Source organism: Homo sapiens, chromosome 20 (genome assembly GCF_000001405.40).
Source record: "Homo sapiens chromosome 20, GRCh38.p14 Primary Assembly".
In the NCBI taxonomy this organism is placed as follows: domain Eukaryota; kingdom Metazoa; phylum Chordata; class Mammalia; order Primates; family Hominidae; genus Homo; species Homo sapiens.
In genome coordinates, this window is record NC_000020.11 from 59,556,532 (window position 1) to 59,571,757 (window position 15,226).

The 15,226-nt window shown below is 49.3% G+C and overlaps 2 annotated features.

Moving 5' to 3' along the window:
- Positions 1,431 to 1,636: a silencer, noted in NCBI's record as "fragment chr20:58133017-58133222 (GRCh37/hg19 assembly coordinates)". NCBI's record gives its function as "represses an EF-1alpha promoter that drives an FKBP-Casp9 reporter gene in an ReSE screen in phorbol 12-myristate 13-acetate-treated (for megakaryocytic differentiation) K562 erythroleukemia cells {active_cell/tissue: K562(+PMA)}" and the evidence as "EXISTENCE:reporter gene assay evidence [ECO:0000049][PMID:32094911]".
- Positions 11,417 to 12,251: an enhancer, noted in NCBI's record as "H3K4me1 hESC enhancer chr20:58143003-58143837 (GRCh37/hg19 assembly coordinates)". NCBI's record gives its function as "activates a minimal SCP1, AML or CMV promoter by ChIP-STARR-seq in naive and primed H9 embryonic stem cells {active_cell/tissue: H9 hESC(naive and primed)}" and the evidence as "EXISTENCE:reporter gene assay evidence [ECO:0000049][PMID:30033119]".

Below are 15,226 nucleotides of genomic sequence, written 5' to 3' on the forward strand. Positions count from 1 at the left end.
CATATTTATCTAATTTTTAATTTTGGCTAGAAGGTAAGATTTTATTTACAGGCAATTTTTTTGACATGCCTCAACTTTCTGACTTATTACAAATATTTCTTTCTTTAAATAACCAGTTAATTTATTTCAGGACAAGAATTTATTATATAATACTCTTTTTATGTAAACTCTGCCTCCCCTTTTTTATTTTTTTCTTTTTTTTTTTTTTCCGAAGATGATAACCATTCTTTTCTAAAGTGAACTTTTTTTTTATGTCTGTGGACTAGACTGTCTAAGGCCACAAGATTAGAAGTTACTATAATACACGTTACACTGTTAACTTTTAGCAAACTTTACTTTTGTTGAAAACCTTGTAAATTTGGGATTTTATTTATCCTTTGATATTAATAAGACCTTGTTTTGTCCAAATTAGAATTGGTATAGATGGCTTTTTTTTTTTTTATCAATTACCTGAGAGGAACCATCAATCGTCCTGTCCGGAAGGGAGTTCCTCCTAGGTCTGGTCAGACCTTTGTATGGTAATTAAGATTTAGATCCCCTGTTAGGAAACCTGCTGGGTTAAGGGAATTTTCAGTGGTTAATGTTAAATCACCTTTCTTTCTTTCTCTTTTTGACTTTGTCTCTCTCTCTCTTTGACTTTCCTTTTGCCTCTGTCTCTTTCTCTCTCTCTCTGCCTCTCTCTCTCTCTCTCCTTGACTCCTTCTTTGTCTATCTCTTCCTCTCTGTCTCTTTCCTTTCTCTCTCTCTGCTGCTCTTTCATTGCCTCTGCCAGCCATTTATGCTGCTGTTCTCTCAACCACTGTGTGTTGGGGGCAGGGGGTCTAAAACCAGCTGTAACCAAGTGTCTATGTACGGGAGCTGGTCTGGGTTCCCTGGCTTACAGGGAACCTTGTGCCATACCTTTGAAACAGGGGACCTGTCCAGGCTTCCTTCTAAAGGCCAACCTACCTCTAATGCTGGACAGTCTATCTTACACAAAGTTTTTAAGTTTTCCTTGTGTCATAGTACTCCATAGTCTCTCTTAAATCGCCCCCCCGACCTTTTTTTTTTTTTTTGAAAATTTTCAACATAGTTCCTAGAGGGGTGGGCTTACTTTGTGCCTCACCTATGTTTCCTCGAGACAAAACATCACGCTCACACCACACACACACCACAAAACAATGGGTAAAAAAGGCACACACGCACTTTCGTAGTTTACACCAAACCAAAATCAAAACCAAAATCAGAGTATCCAGAAATCTAAGCCAGGTCAAAACCAAAACCAAAATATCAAGCAATCCAAGTCAAGTCAAAAACAAAAACCAAAGTGCCGGTACAGGCACGCCATGGGTGATCAGGCCACGCTTCCACTCAAGTGGCGTGGGCAAGTTCCCAAGACCAGTCCTGTCAAGCAATTCAAACCAAGTCAAAACCAAAACCAAAACCAAAGTGCCGATAAAAGGCATGCCGTGGGTGATCAGGCCACGCTTCCACTCAAATGGAGTGGGCAAGTTCCTAAGACTGGTCCTGTCAAGCAATTCAAACCAAGTCAAAACCAAAACTAAAACTAAAGTGTCGATAAAGGCACGCCATGGGTGATCAGGCCACACTTCCACTCAAACAGAGTGGGCAAGTTTCAAAGACTAGTCTTACCAAGTTTTAGATGTCCAGACTCCAAGTGCCCATTCCTTCCTGGTGTTAGCCACTGCGTTGATCCTCCACGGGGGCCTGCCACACACTGCTCTGGCGAGGCGTCCACCGGGGCAAATGCCTATCTGGGAGTGCTCTCAGGATCCGCGTCGCTCAGGCTGGCCGGAGTCCCCCGCAGGGATGTTCCACAGGGCAGACTTCAGCCGCCTAAGGAGCTGCCTCGACCATCCACCAATCACCTCGCTTCCCGGTCAGGGAACCAAGAAATGTAGCAGGACAAGCCACAGACAAAACTCCTCAGACACCGAGTTAAAGAAGGAAGGGGTTTATTCGGCCGGGGGCATCAGCAAGACTCCTGTCTCAAGAGCCGAGCTCCTCGAGTGAGCAATTCCTGTGCTTTTTAAGGGCTCACAACTCTAAGGGGAGTGCACGTGATGAGTCGTGATCGATCGAGCAAGCAGGGGGTACGTGACTGGGGGCTGCATGCGCCGGTTATTAGATTGGAACAAAACAGGATAGGGATTTTCACAGTGCTTTTCTATACAATGTCTGTAATCTATAGATAATATAACCAATTAGGTCAGGGGTTGATTTTTAACTACCAGGCCCAGGGTGTGGTGCCGGGCTGTCTGCTTGTGGATTTCATTTCTGCCTTTTAGTTTTTACTTTTTCTTTCTTTGGAGGCAGAAATTGGGCATAAGATAATATGAGGGGCGGTCTCCTCCCTTATCACCATGTTGGCCAGGATGGTCTCAATCTCTTCACCTCATGATCTGCCCACCTTGGCCTCCCAAAGTGCTAGGATTATAGGCGTGAGCTACTGCAACCAGCCTACAAACATCATTTTTATATCTATACACAGAATAAATACATGCTCACTTCCTTTTTCTCCTCATGTATGAAACAAGCATTTTCTGTTACTCCCAAAGTGTTGTGATTAAATTTTTAAGTGTGTGCTGGCTGTTAGCTGCAGGGAGGATGTGAGCAGAGAGTGAAGCCGTGGCCCGAAGTGTCCACAGGTGTGTGCACAAAGCCTGGTGGTGTGCATGGGATGGGGTCTGGAAGGGCGTGGGGCAGGGACAAGGCTGGGCTGGCCTGGGCCACCATGTCCTGGCAGGGAACTGAGAGGTCTCTGGGAATTGCGAGGTCTCTGAGTACTGTAAAGGCCAGCATGGCCTGGCAGATTGTCAGGAGGGTAAGTGGGTCAAAGGAGGAGGACAGAACATATGGCATTTGGCTGTGTGTGAGCCAGATCTAGAAGTAACATGTAGACTCTCGTATGTGGGCCTCTATTGGACCCTTGTCCCAGGTCCAGCATGTACCAGGTCAGCCCTCAGATGGAAGGGGCCTGCTGTGGGAGGAGTGCAGGGGAAGGGGGCCGCGCTCCGCTCCTGCGCAGAGCCCTGGGGTGGCCTAAGCCCCGGGGAGAAGGCACATGGTGTGACTGTCAGCATTCAGGATGGAAAGTCCAAGGCCCATAGGCAGTTGTTTCCCCCAAAGCTTGGGATGGATGGGAAGCAGCAGCGGAGCCTTGTATCTGGCAGGTACATCCCGGAAGGCAGTTTGGAGACCAGATGAGGTAGAGGATGCGAGGGCCATCCTGGATGCCTCGGCTCTGCAAATACCCTGAATAGACATGACCTGGAGGTGTTGGATTCTGTCTCGGCCCTCCCAGCAGGAAAGGGACTTAGAAGAGAAGCAATCTTGATTCATAATAACCATGTCCTTTTTCTTGTATATCTGGTTTGTGAACTGAGGTTCGTGTCCACTGAGGCTCTTGTTCCCTCCCTTCCTCCAGCTGGGTCATGACCTTAGCTCTTTGACCCCTTGGCTTAGGGAGGCCTGGGGTTGGCCTGAGCAATGAAACCCCTTGCTAGAGTTGGCTCAAGGAGCCGGCACGGCCATCAACCTCACTGTGGGTTGGTTTGGACCCCACCCCATTGTTCCCCAAGGTGGAATGCAGGTGCCTTTCAGTGACGGGTAAAACACAGCAAAGCGGCAGAAATTTTAGGTGAGAGGGAAAGGTGAGGCCAAGGAACGGAAAGAGAGGACGGGGGTGTGGCATTGGCCCCCCAGGACTCATAACATGATGAAGCTTCCAGATGTAGCAAATAAAAATATAGGGCGCCCAGTTAAATTTGAAGTTCAGATAAAGAATGAACATTTTTTAGTATAAGTCAGTCCAAATATTTGCATAGGATATATACTGAAAAGTTATTTATTAGGTACCTAAAGTTCAGATTTCACTGGGTGCCCTGTGTTTTATCTGGTGACCCTACACAATCAAGTCCTCTCCACTTCCTTAGAGAAGGGCCAGGAACTGAGCTCTCAGAACCTCCTGGCCAGGCACCAGAGTGTCACCAAAGGTCCCCTGAGGGGCTCAGGAACAACATGGGGCGTTTTATCCCTGTAGAGGGTAAAACAAAACGGTGTTTTATATTTTTAAAAACATGGTTATATTTTGGACGAATATATGAAATTAAAGTGAAATTTAAAATATAATGCAATTTATAAAATAGTTTTATCACACTCCTCACCTATATCCCAGGCATCTGTAGTCCTCTTCTTTGGGGAATATCTGAGATTCTCAGTTGAAACACTTGGGGTGGCCACTAGAGGGAGGCTTACAGACTTCACAATTCACAGCTTCCCCACTACGAAAAAGTTTTTTCAGGGTAGTACAAGTAATTCACGTGCTACTATTTTGTTGTCCTTTCTTTTCTGATAAATGTTATTGTCTTTCTCCTCCTTGGTGTCTTTCTTCTCCCCTTCAGCTACTCTGAATTCTGTGTCCTTTTTTTAACCCATTCAAATATCCCTGCTGTGTAGCTACTTAAGGTCCCACTCTGAGACCCCCTGGCCCAGCAGTGGGTTGCTTGCTCCATAATGACAAGGGCTGCCATTTTGTGAGCTTTCGCCGTGTGTCAGGCATGGGGCTATCAGCTTGGCATGTGGTATCCATCAAGAAACAGTACCTGGGCCAAGTGTTTACCCCACAGGGCATTTAAGGCAGGGGACTGGCTAGTGGGGGTGGCATGGCTGTGAGCCAAACCCAGGGACGCAGAGAAGCAGCAAGCTGCCACACCTCAGCTGGAGGGACAGAGGGTGGAGGTGGGGTGGTGGGAACCTGGGGCCAGGTCACTGGATGGAGGCTGCTTCCTGCACTGCTGAAGATGCTGTGTAGGGCAGAACAAGGGTGGTAGGGGAACATCCCGGCCTCCTGCCAGGGCCTTCAGGAGCAGCTGATGCAGGAAAGGCAGCCCCGCCCCCTTGCCATCCAGAACAGAACAGGGGAGACAAGAAAGGGCGTGAGGACACGATGCCCTGGAGCCAGCACACATGCCTCATCTTGTTGAAGTGTGCTCATTTTACAGCCAGGGAATCTGAGGTTCAGAGAGTTTAAGTGGCTGAACTGCAGTTGCACAGCTTGTCAGAAGCAGAGCTAGGATTTGAACCAAGAAGCCTGCCTGAGGAATCCATGCTCTTGAGGACTGCCATATAACAGAAGAGACAGTTCTGGTATGGCCAAGTTCACTTTTGCCCTCAGCCTTTGCAGACATCACTAATCAATCAGAGCCTGGGTCCTAGTGAGCCTTGAGGCAGGTTTGCAATATGGATGGTGCCATCCTGGCAGACATGACTCACCAAAAGTGTTCATCCCACACAGAATCGACAGTGTCAGGCAAGATTCACTTGCAAGAAATAGAAACCATGTCCCAGTTCTGCACAGAATGGGAGTTACTACAGGGGCTTAGGTGCTCACAGAAGTACTGGAAGGGCTGGAGGAAGAGACTCTAGGAGGACAGCTCAGAAGTTGTCCCCCAGGCCGAAATCGTCCTACCTCTGCCTCAAGCAAGAAAAGGCAGTGCCAGGAGGTTCCCACTGGCATCGTTTACCTCTAGCACCTGTGCTGCAGTCCAGGGACAGGAACCACCACAGCTGCCACTCAGCACTTGTCCATCACAGACCCCAGGATGCTGTGGGGGAACCAGCATCTCCAGCAGCAGCTACAGGCGGTAGAAAACAGAAAGTGGAAGAGAGGTTCTGGGGGCCAGGCAGGTGGGAACAAGGAGTTATTGCTTAATGATGAGGGGCTAATGAAAAAGTTCTGGAGGTGGATGGTGGGGATGGTTGTACAACACTGCAAATGTACTTAATGCCAATGCATTGTACTCTTAAAATGGTTAAAATGGCACATTTTATGTTGTATATATTTTACCACAAAAAATTTCAGAAAAGAATGAAAAAAAATCTAAAAACATAACCACCTCACATCCATTAGGATGGCTATCATAAAAACAAGACAGGACAAAATAAGTGCTGATGAGGACATGGAGAAATTGGAACCCTTGTGCACTGTTGGTGGGAACGTAAAATGGTGCCATCGCTATGAAAAATGATGCATCCTCAAAATAACCAGAAATAGAATTACCATAGCCTCCGGCAGTTCTGCCTCTGGGTACATACCTGAAAGAACCGAAGGCAGAGACTCCAACAGATATTTGTACACACGTGTTCAGAGCAGCATTATTCACAATAGCCCAAAGGTGGAGGCAGCCCAAGAGTCTATGGATGGATAGACAGAGCAAATGTGGCCTGTACACACAACAGAATACGATTCAGCTTTAAAACGGAAGGGTATTGTGACACAGGCTACACCGTGGGTGAAACTTGAGGACATTACGCTAAGTAAAATAAGCCAGATGCGAAAGGACAAATACTGTGTGATTCCACTCATAAGAAGTCCCTTGCATAGTCAAGTTCTCATAGAGACAGAAAGTTCCAGGGTGGTTGCCGGGGGCTGGGAGGAGGGAGAATGATGGGTAGAGTTTCCGTTTTGCAAGATGAAAACAGTTCTGGAAATGATGGTGGTGATGGTTGCATGATGTAAATATTCTTACCACTGCTGAACTATATTCCTAAAAATGGTTAAGATGGTAAATTTTATGTGTATTTCACCACATTTTTTAAAAGAAAGTAAACCAGAAGAAGATGAACAGGAGGAGGAGAGATGAAGGAGAAGGCGAAGGATGGGGAAACCCAGGGTGGGACAGATATAGAAAGCAGATGAATGAGACAGGGTGCTGACCACCCCCCATGCCAAGGGAAGCCCCCATCTTGGCTCCCCCATCAGGGGAAGCCCCCATCAATATTGCCATCAATATTGATGGCAGCATCAATATTGTGACCCAGCCTCAGGGCTCACTGGGACCCAGGCTCTGGTTGATTAGCAATGTCTGCAAAGGCTGAGGGTGAAGGTGAACTTGGCCATGCAGAAGCTGCCCCTTCTGTTATATGGCTGCTGTCAAGAGCATGGATCCTGCAGGTCCAGGAGGCCCTGGAATGAAAGAGAGCATTTGTGAGGATAAGGAACGAAAGAAATCAGGTTTTTTAAATGTTAAAGCTGTTAGGAAAAACTGTGGAAGACTTACTGGGAATGATTGCAATGGAGAACTAGGGTTCCAGTCCCGCATCTGGGTTATCTGATTCGGTGGGGTTTCTGTGCCTTTGACTGTCTCTGAGCTATTTCGCAGCTCTGTACATGGTAGAAATGGATGGAGTGCAAATTATCCTGGGTTCATAGAAAGGTGGATGAGTCTTGGCTGGTGGAGGTACACTGGGCCCCTCTCCGGAAGCTCATTTTGCACTTTCACTGAGCGAATTCATGTCAGCATTCCTGACTGGCTGCCCTTTGGATTCTCCTTTGAACTGGTTTTTAATACCTTATTGGATTCCTCATTAGTTAGTGAGTACAAAAAAAACAGATCTTTGACACATGTTCATTTTATAGATGTTTGAAAGTCATCATTTTACCTTTTAAAAAGTTTCACATTAGCAGAATCATAAAGGATGGAGAATAGAATAGACCGGAAGATTCACACGCATGCTGAGATCCACCAAGGTCTTCAGAACCTGGGAGGACTTCACCCCACTCAGATGGCGACCCCAAGAGTGACATGGGGGAGGCAGAGTTTCAGCCTCTGTCTTCACAAGTAATTTGATGAAAAATGACAGGCTCACACTATGACCCGTCTGCAGACCTGAGAGGGAGCTGATCGGCCCATTGAGGAGATGGTTGGAGTCAGGGCGCGCTTGAGTTCCCCGGTCTCAGGAAGCTGGAGAGCTGGGCTGGGCCCAGCAGAGACTGCCATGGGCTGGGGCCAGAGGGGCCTATGGCACCAAGAGACAATGCGGACGGCTCCTTCCCTCTGTCCCCTGCCCAGGCCCACAGCTCTGGACTTCGACCACCACTCAGATGAAGAGGATGAGTCCAAGGAACACCCCGGGCATGGGGGGAAAGCAGCGTCCGCCCCCAGGCCAAGGGCAGAGCCAGCCTCCCCTGCCTGCCCTGATGCAGCATGTGGAATCATAGCCTCTTACCACAGCCACGGAGAGAAAAGGGTGGACAGGGAGGGGGACGCAGCGAGACACAGAGAATATAGAGCATGATCAGACATGCCAGAGAGACAGAGACAGACAGAGACAGAGAGACAGAGACAGACAGAGAGAGACAGACAGAGGGAGACAGACAGACAGAGACAGACAGAGAGACAGTGACAGAGAGACGGAAACAGACAGAGGGAGACAGAGACAGAGATAGATGGAGAGACAGAGACAGACAGAGAGACAGAGACAGAGAGACAGAGACGGAGACAGAGAGACAGAGACAGAGAGACAGAGACAGACAGAGGGAGACAGAAAGACAGAGACAGAGACAGACAGAGACAGAGGGAGACAGAGACAGATGGAGAGACAGAGACAGACAGAGGGAGACAGACGGAGGGACAGAGACAGACAGAGGGAGACAGACAGAGACAGAGACACAGAGACAGAGGGACAGAGACAGACAGGGAGACAGAGACAGAGAGACAGAGGGACAGACAGACAGAGACAGATGGAGAGACAGACAGACAGAGGGAGACAGACAGAGACAGAGACAAACAAAGGGACAGACAGAAACAGAGAGACAGAGACAGACAGAGGGAGACAGAGACAGAGATAGAGACAGACGGAGAGACAGAGACAGAGACAGATGGAGAGACAAGGACAGACAGATACAGGCTGAGACAGAGACAGAGAGAGACAAACAGGCTGAGACAGAGAGACAGAGTCAGACAGAGACAGAGACATACAGGCTGAGACAGAGACAAACAGAAACAAAAACAGACAAGGAACAAAGTCTGCAAAGATGCAGACAGAGACATGCAGAGGGACAAAGATACAGAGACTGAGACATTCAGAGGGACCGAGACATAGGGACAGAGAGATATAGAACAAAGTCCAGAGGGACAGAGACACAGGGACAGAAAGATATGGAACAAAATTTGAAGAGACAGAGACATACAGAAAGAGCTGGAGACACAGAGACAGAGACATACGGAACAATGTCCAAAGAGAGACAGAGGGACAGCCAGAGACATTCAGAAGGACAGAGACACAGAGACAGAGAGATATGGAGCAAAATCCAGAGAGACAGAGACATAGGGAGAAACACAGACAGTGAGATATGGAACAAAGTCCGGAGAGAGACACATAGACACAGAGACAGAGATGTATGGAATAAAGTCTAGAGAGATGCAGAGATCTGCAGAGAGAAAGGGGGAGGGAAATATGGAGCAAAGTCCAGAGACACACACACACAGATACTTAGAGAGAGACAAAGCAAGAGGCAGAGACTTCGAGACAGAGAGATGGACAAGGAGAGGCAACAAATGAGACAAACCTGCTCGCCCAGCAGGGGCCACCTGTCACATGATTGTCCAGGTCCCATGCCATGGGGCCAGGCCAGGCTGGTGCCTGATGGAGCCTCCCACCCTCCTCAGTGGGCATCATCCCCCGTAGGGCCTGTGTGAGGTTGGTGCCAGGCTGTGGTCCTGTGTCCAGCTCAGCACTGGGCACATGTGCAGGCTGGAGAGGGGCTCTGAACGACTAAGACCTTCCCTTGGCGATTTGCTGTTAGCCATTCACTTACACCCAGGGAGGCTTGATCACCCAAACCAGGAAACTTTAGAGAGGGAAAGGAGTGTGGTTAACAGTCATCCCTGGACAGCAAAGCATGCAAAGGGGCTGTCCCAGCGAACGGGAATGTGCAGTCCCAGGGCTGACGACTGTCCCTGTTCCAAAGTGGGTCCCATCACAGGAGTCCAAGCATAGGCAGGCCCTGGCTTGTGGGCTGCCATCGGTCACGCTGGCCATGGCCATGTTGACCACCCCTGAGGGACACAGCTGCTTGGGAGGGGAAGTGATAATTTTTAACCTGGGTTGTTTAAATATGAATACAAAGAGGGCTGAGCGCAACACTCTCATGACCTTAAAAGATGAAACAAGAACTTTAAGAAATTCCATCTTTGTTTCCCACTGCTTCAAGCTGCGCTGTGGTCCATCTGAGGGCAGTCTCTTCCATCTTCCTCCTGAGTCTAGGAGCCCCTGGCAGAGACATCTCGAACTCTTGTAACTTTTCTGGCAACCACAGGCGGACACCTGATCAACGCCATGAGTCAGATATTCCATTTAAAGAGCAACATAAATTGTAGAAGAGAACAGTGATTCCCTGTTGTATTGCTGTCAGTGTCAGAGGTGAGCGTGATGAGGTCTTTGCCACCGTCGGGGACTCTGTCCCCTCCTCCCTGCTGCACCCCGGCACCGACCGTCCTAGGCCCTCAACACGCATTCGTCAGATCCACTTGACTCAGCCTTTGACTCCTGGCTACCATGGAACTGACACAAGACTGATGTCGTGTTTTAGGTCAGGGGTCAGAACTGTGACCTGTGGGCCAAGTCCAGTCACCAGTCTTATAAAGTTTTATTGGAACACAGCCACGCCCATTTGTTTACATATTATCTGGGGCTGCTTTGGCACTATAGGGGCAGCGGCCTCGTGGCCTGCAAAGCCTGAAATATTTGCTATGTGGCCTTTACAGGACAAGTTTGCCACCCACCCATGAACCAGATGCTAATGAATGGCGTCCTCCCCCTGCCTGGACGAGGAGCTGGTGCGACTCTGACCACTGCCAGCCCTGCCCTGGCCAGACTCACCGATCCATCGCCCCTTCTCCATGTTCCCCAGGGCAGTGTGGCTCCTTGGTGGGAACCTGCCTAGGGGGAGGGACCCATTTGCTATCAGGACTCATTCCTCAGCTGTGATCTTCTATGACAGGTCTCAGGCTGGTGTCAGCGATGGGGACCCACTGCAGAAACACCCTGGGCTGGGCTCAGGGACGGCGTGCAGCAGGTACTCTGTAATCCATGTGTGTTTCTGGCCCTGGGGACTTGGGTCCCGGGCACCCTCTCCTGGCTGTGCAGCAGGGGTCCTGGCCCAGAAGGAGGCCCAGCAGCTCTGAGGATCCAAGCCCCAGATTTCTTGCCAAGCCCCTCAGGCAGGTCTCCCCTGTCTGCAGGGCCTCTGAGCCCTAACTGCTCTCACTCTGCGCGGGCCGGGGGTCCCAGCCCTCATCAGCTCTCCAGGTTCTCTACTTCTCTGCCATCCCTTCCCCACAGCTTCCCTTCCCAATGTCATCTCTGTGCCCTGCTTCTTTGGATTAATGCCTCACCGGGGCCACTTGGCTGTCAACATTCATTTGACAAACAGAGTTGAGCGCCTGCTGTGTGCCAGGTGCCCTGCTGGGCTCGGGGGCTCAGTGGGAATAAGATGCAGCCACTGTCTTCCTCGAGATCTGAGCTCACTGCAGGGGCAGGTGAGCCAGTGGCTGCAGTGCAGCGTGTGTGTGAGAGAGTGTGTATGAGTGTGAGAGTGAGTGTGTGAGTGTGCGTGTGCATGTGAGTGTGTGACTGTGTGAGTGAGAGTGTGTGAGTGTGCGTGTGCATGTGTGTGACTGTGAGAGTGAGTGTGTGTGAGACTGCATGTGTGAGTGTGTGAGCATGTGTGTGTGTAGAGTGTGCATGTGAGTGTGTGTGACTGTACATTGCGTGTGAGTGTGTGTGTGTGTGTAGAGTGGGGGTGGGGCTGAAAGCTCCAGAACGAGAGGACCCAGGGGAGGGGAGGAGGGATAGGGCATCTGTGGCGAAGGCACAGCACACCTGAGGCTGGGCAGGTGGGCGGGGCCTGCCATGGCTCCTCACTGAGGTTTTGGAGCCTCTCTGCCTCATAACTGTTGTCTCGGCCTCTGCTGTGACTTTGAGCTCTATGGGGGCTCAGCCCTCACCTGAAGTGCCTTGCCACTCCTTGCTGCCCAGGCATCCCGGAGGAACTGCTGTGGACCCTGCTCTGTGCCCAGGTGGAGGAGGGTCAGGGGAGTCAGGGCCCACTGGGGTAAATCTTCATCCAACAGGAGACGGGAGGATGCCGCCTCCCATCAAATCCTCCTCCTTTCCCGCCTCCAGATGGGCCATCCTCAGGGAGTCGCCATACACAGGGTGGCTCATGTCTCAGTTTGCCTGGGACAATCCCAGGTTATACCTGTCACCTTGGTGTCATTAACAGCGAGTGTCCCAGATGATGAGATGAAGGATGTGTTCACCCTGCACCCTCATGTGTGCCCCTGACATCCAGCAACTGGTTTGCCGTGAAGTGGTGGCTGCCTCTTCCCTCCCTTCCTCTGGCTCCTGGCCCACACTCCCTAGCCCCAGAGGGTCACCTGTGTCTGGGCCTCAGGCTCTGTTTCTCGGGAACTGAGGCCGGAGCCTTTGAAGGTGTGAGGAACGGGAGTGTCGCAAGCACGTCTGGGTTCTAGGGACAGACCAGTTTCAACTCACGGAAGGACACCCACAGGGAGCTGTGATGCAGAAATCAAGGGAGAATAATTGGCCCAGACTGCTGGGGAGGGGCTTTCTGAGGAGTGGACATATAGGGAGATTTGGGGAAAGAATTGGCAGGAGAGGGGGCCATGAGTCGTCCAGGCAGGGGGTGGCACAGGCAGAGTCTCCGGTAGAAACGGCTGAATTCCAAGATTTGGGGAAATCCCAGAAAGAATTCCTGCCCCTCTGTTTCTTCTCAGCCCAAATCCTGTAGAGCCCCTTGTCAGTGGCAGATAAAGTGGGGAAGCAAATCCTAGGAAAGGCGTCCAGGTAAAACAACGGAAGAAAGGCCATAAGAAGCACTGCACTACCGGGACCATTTCATCCACCCGCACTTTGCCATGAAAGACTCCATCCATGGGGCGGGGAAGCACCCTCTGATCACTGCAGCTGCAGCGGGGAGAGCAAGAAGGACACACACTGAGGGAGAAACTGGAACAGAAACAGAGAGAGGAGAGAACAGAGAGAGTCAGAAACAGAAACCAAAGCTGATGGAAACAAAGGCAGCAGGAGAGAGGGAGTGGGGAGAGAGAGAGAGAATGGATGGACAGATGGATGAATGGATGGATGGATGGATGGATGCATGGAGGATAGATAGATCAGAGATGAATGGATGATGGATGGATGAGTAGATGGGTGGGTAAGTGGATGGACGGATGGATGATGGGTAGAGGATGGATAGATCAAGGATGAATGGATGATGGTTGGATGGAAGATGGATGGAAGGATGCTGGATGGATGGATAATGGATGGGAAATAGATGATGGACGGACGATGGGCAGATTCCAGCAAGCACCCTTATCTTGCTGTATCAGTTGTAAGGGAACTGGTTCACAGCATTGGCTTCTGGGGCCCCATGACCTCCTGTTTCTTTCCCTACCCAACCCCTGCCTTCTTCTCACACAAGTTGTAAGGTGTAGAGCCTGTTCCCAAACCAAACACTGCAGCTTTCTTGACTCAGTGTTCTTCCTGTAAGATTTTTTCTCCCCCCAACTTCCAGAGTTGCTTGCTGGGGTGGGAAGGGTTGACAGATTACTTCTAAGCATCTGGCACACGGTAGACCCTCAACCAGGTGGCTGTATTGATGACTTTTTTTTTAATTGAGATATAATTTATGTAGTCTAAATTCACCATTTTAAAGCATACAATTCAGTGGTTTTTAGTATATTCACAAGGCTGTGTAACTATCATATACTATCTGATTCCACAGCATTTTCACCACCCCATAAAGAAAACCATTAAGCAGTCACTCCCCATCCTCCCCTTCCCCAGCCCTTGGCAACCATTAAGCTACTTTATGTTTCTTTGGATTGGCGCTTTCTGCACATTTCATGTAAGTGGTGTCATTCACGATATAGACTTTTATGATTTTTTTTTCACTTAGCACAATCTTTCCAAGGTTTATCTGTGTTGTAGTGTGGATCAGTACATCATTCCTTTTTATTGTCAAATAATATTCCATTGTATGGGTATACATCCGGCCCTCCAAATTTGCTGATTCCACATCCGTGGAATTCAACCAACTGCAGATTGAAAATATTTTTGAAAGAAAGGGATGGAGTATCTGTACTGAACATGTACAGACTCTTTTTTCTTGTCATTATTTTATAAACAATACAGCATAATGACTATTTACATTGTATCAGGTATTATAAGTAATCCAGAGATGATTTAAAGCAAGCTTGTCCAAAGGGCAGCCCGTGGGCCACATGTGACCCAGGACAGCTTTGAATGCAGCCCAACACAAATTCATAAACTTCCCTAAAACATTATGAAAGGTTTTTTTTTTCAATTTCTTTTTAGCTCATCAGATATCGTTAGTGTATTTTGTGTATGGCCCAAGACCATTCTTCTTCCAATGCGGTCCAGGGAAGCCAAAAGATTGGATATCCCTGATTTAATGGATACAAGAGGATGTATGTAGCTTATAAGCAAGTAGTACACTATTTCATATAAAGAAATTGAGCATCTGTGGATTTTGGTATCCCTGGGTGTTCTGTAATCAACCCCCCATGGGTACTGAGGGACTAGGGTACTACCCCTGACTTTTTCATTAGCTGACAGATATTTGAGTTGCTTCCACTTTTTGACTATTATGGTGAATGCTGCTATGAACAGCCATGCACTTGCTTTTCTGGGGAAAAATATTTCCAGTTCTCTTGAGTACATACCTGGAAGTGGAATTGCTCGGTCATATGGCAACTTGATGTTTAGCTTTTCGAGGAATTGCTAGACTGTTTCCCAAGGCAGCTGCACCATTTTACATGCTGACGATTTGTTTTTAACAATTTATGGATAGTCCCACAATGTGTCAAAGACGGTTCAAAGCAGCTTAGACCCACACCTGAATTCAGCAGGTGACTGTCAGAGAAGTGAGAAGCATCGGGGCAAGGACGGGGAATTGGGACAGGACCAGGGAGTGGGGAGAGCAGAGTCCTGCCCGGCACAGGCCATAGCTCTTCACAGGAGGCTCTGGGCCATGCTGCAGGGTGGGTACCCTGGGGTGCTCGGAAGTGGCCCTTGAAGCCCCTGGGTACACACCGTGCATCTTCCAGAGCATTGATTTTTACTTAACTGTTTGGTGAGAAAGTGATGTGTATGAAAAGAATATAGACACATGTTGACTAGAATGAAAAACTGGATGAATTTTAGAAAGCTCAAAGGGATCCAGCACCTGCATGCCTCCGCTGCAGGCTCCTTTGACCACAGCCCCCACATCAGAGAACCCCTAGCAGGGGCACCTCCCACCCACCAGAATTGGGGAGAGTTGGGCAGGCTCGCCTGCACCCGTCCTAGTGGCCACTAGAGGGCGTCTGGATCCTCCCTGGGTTGCAGATTCCAG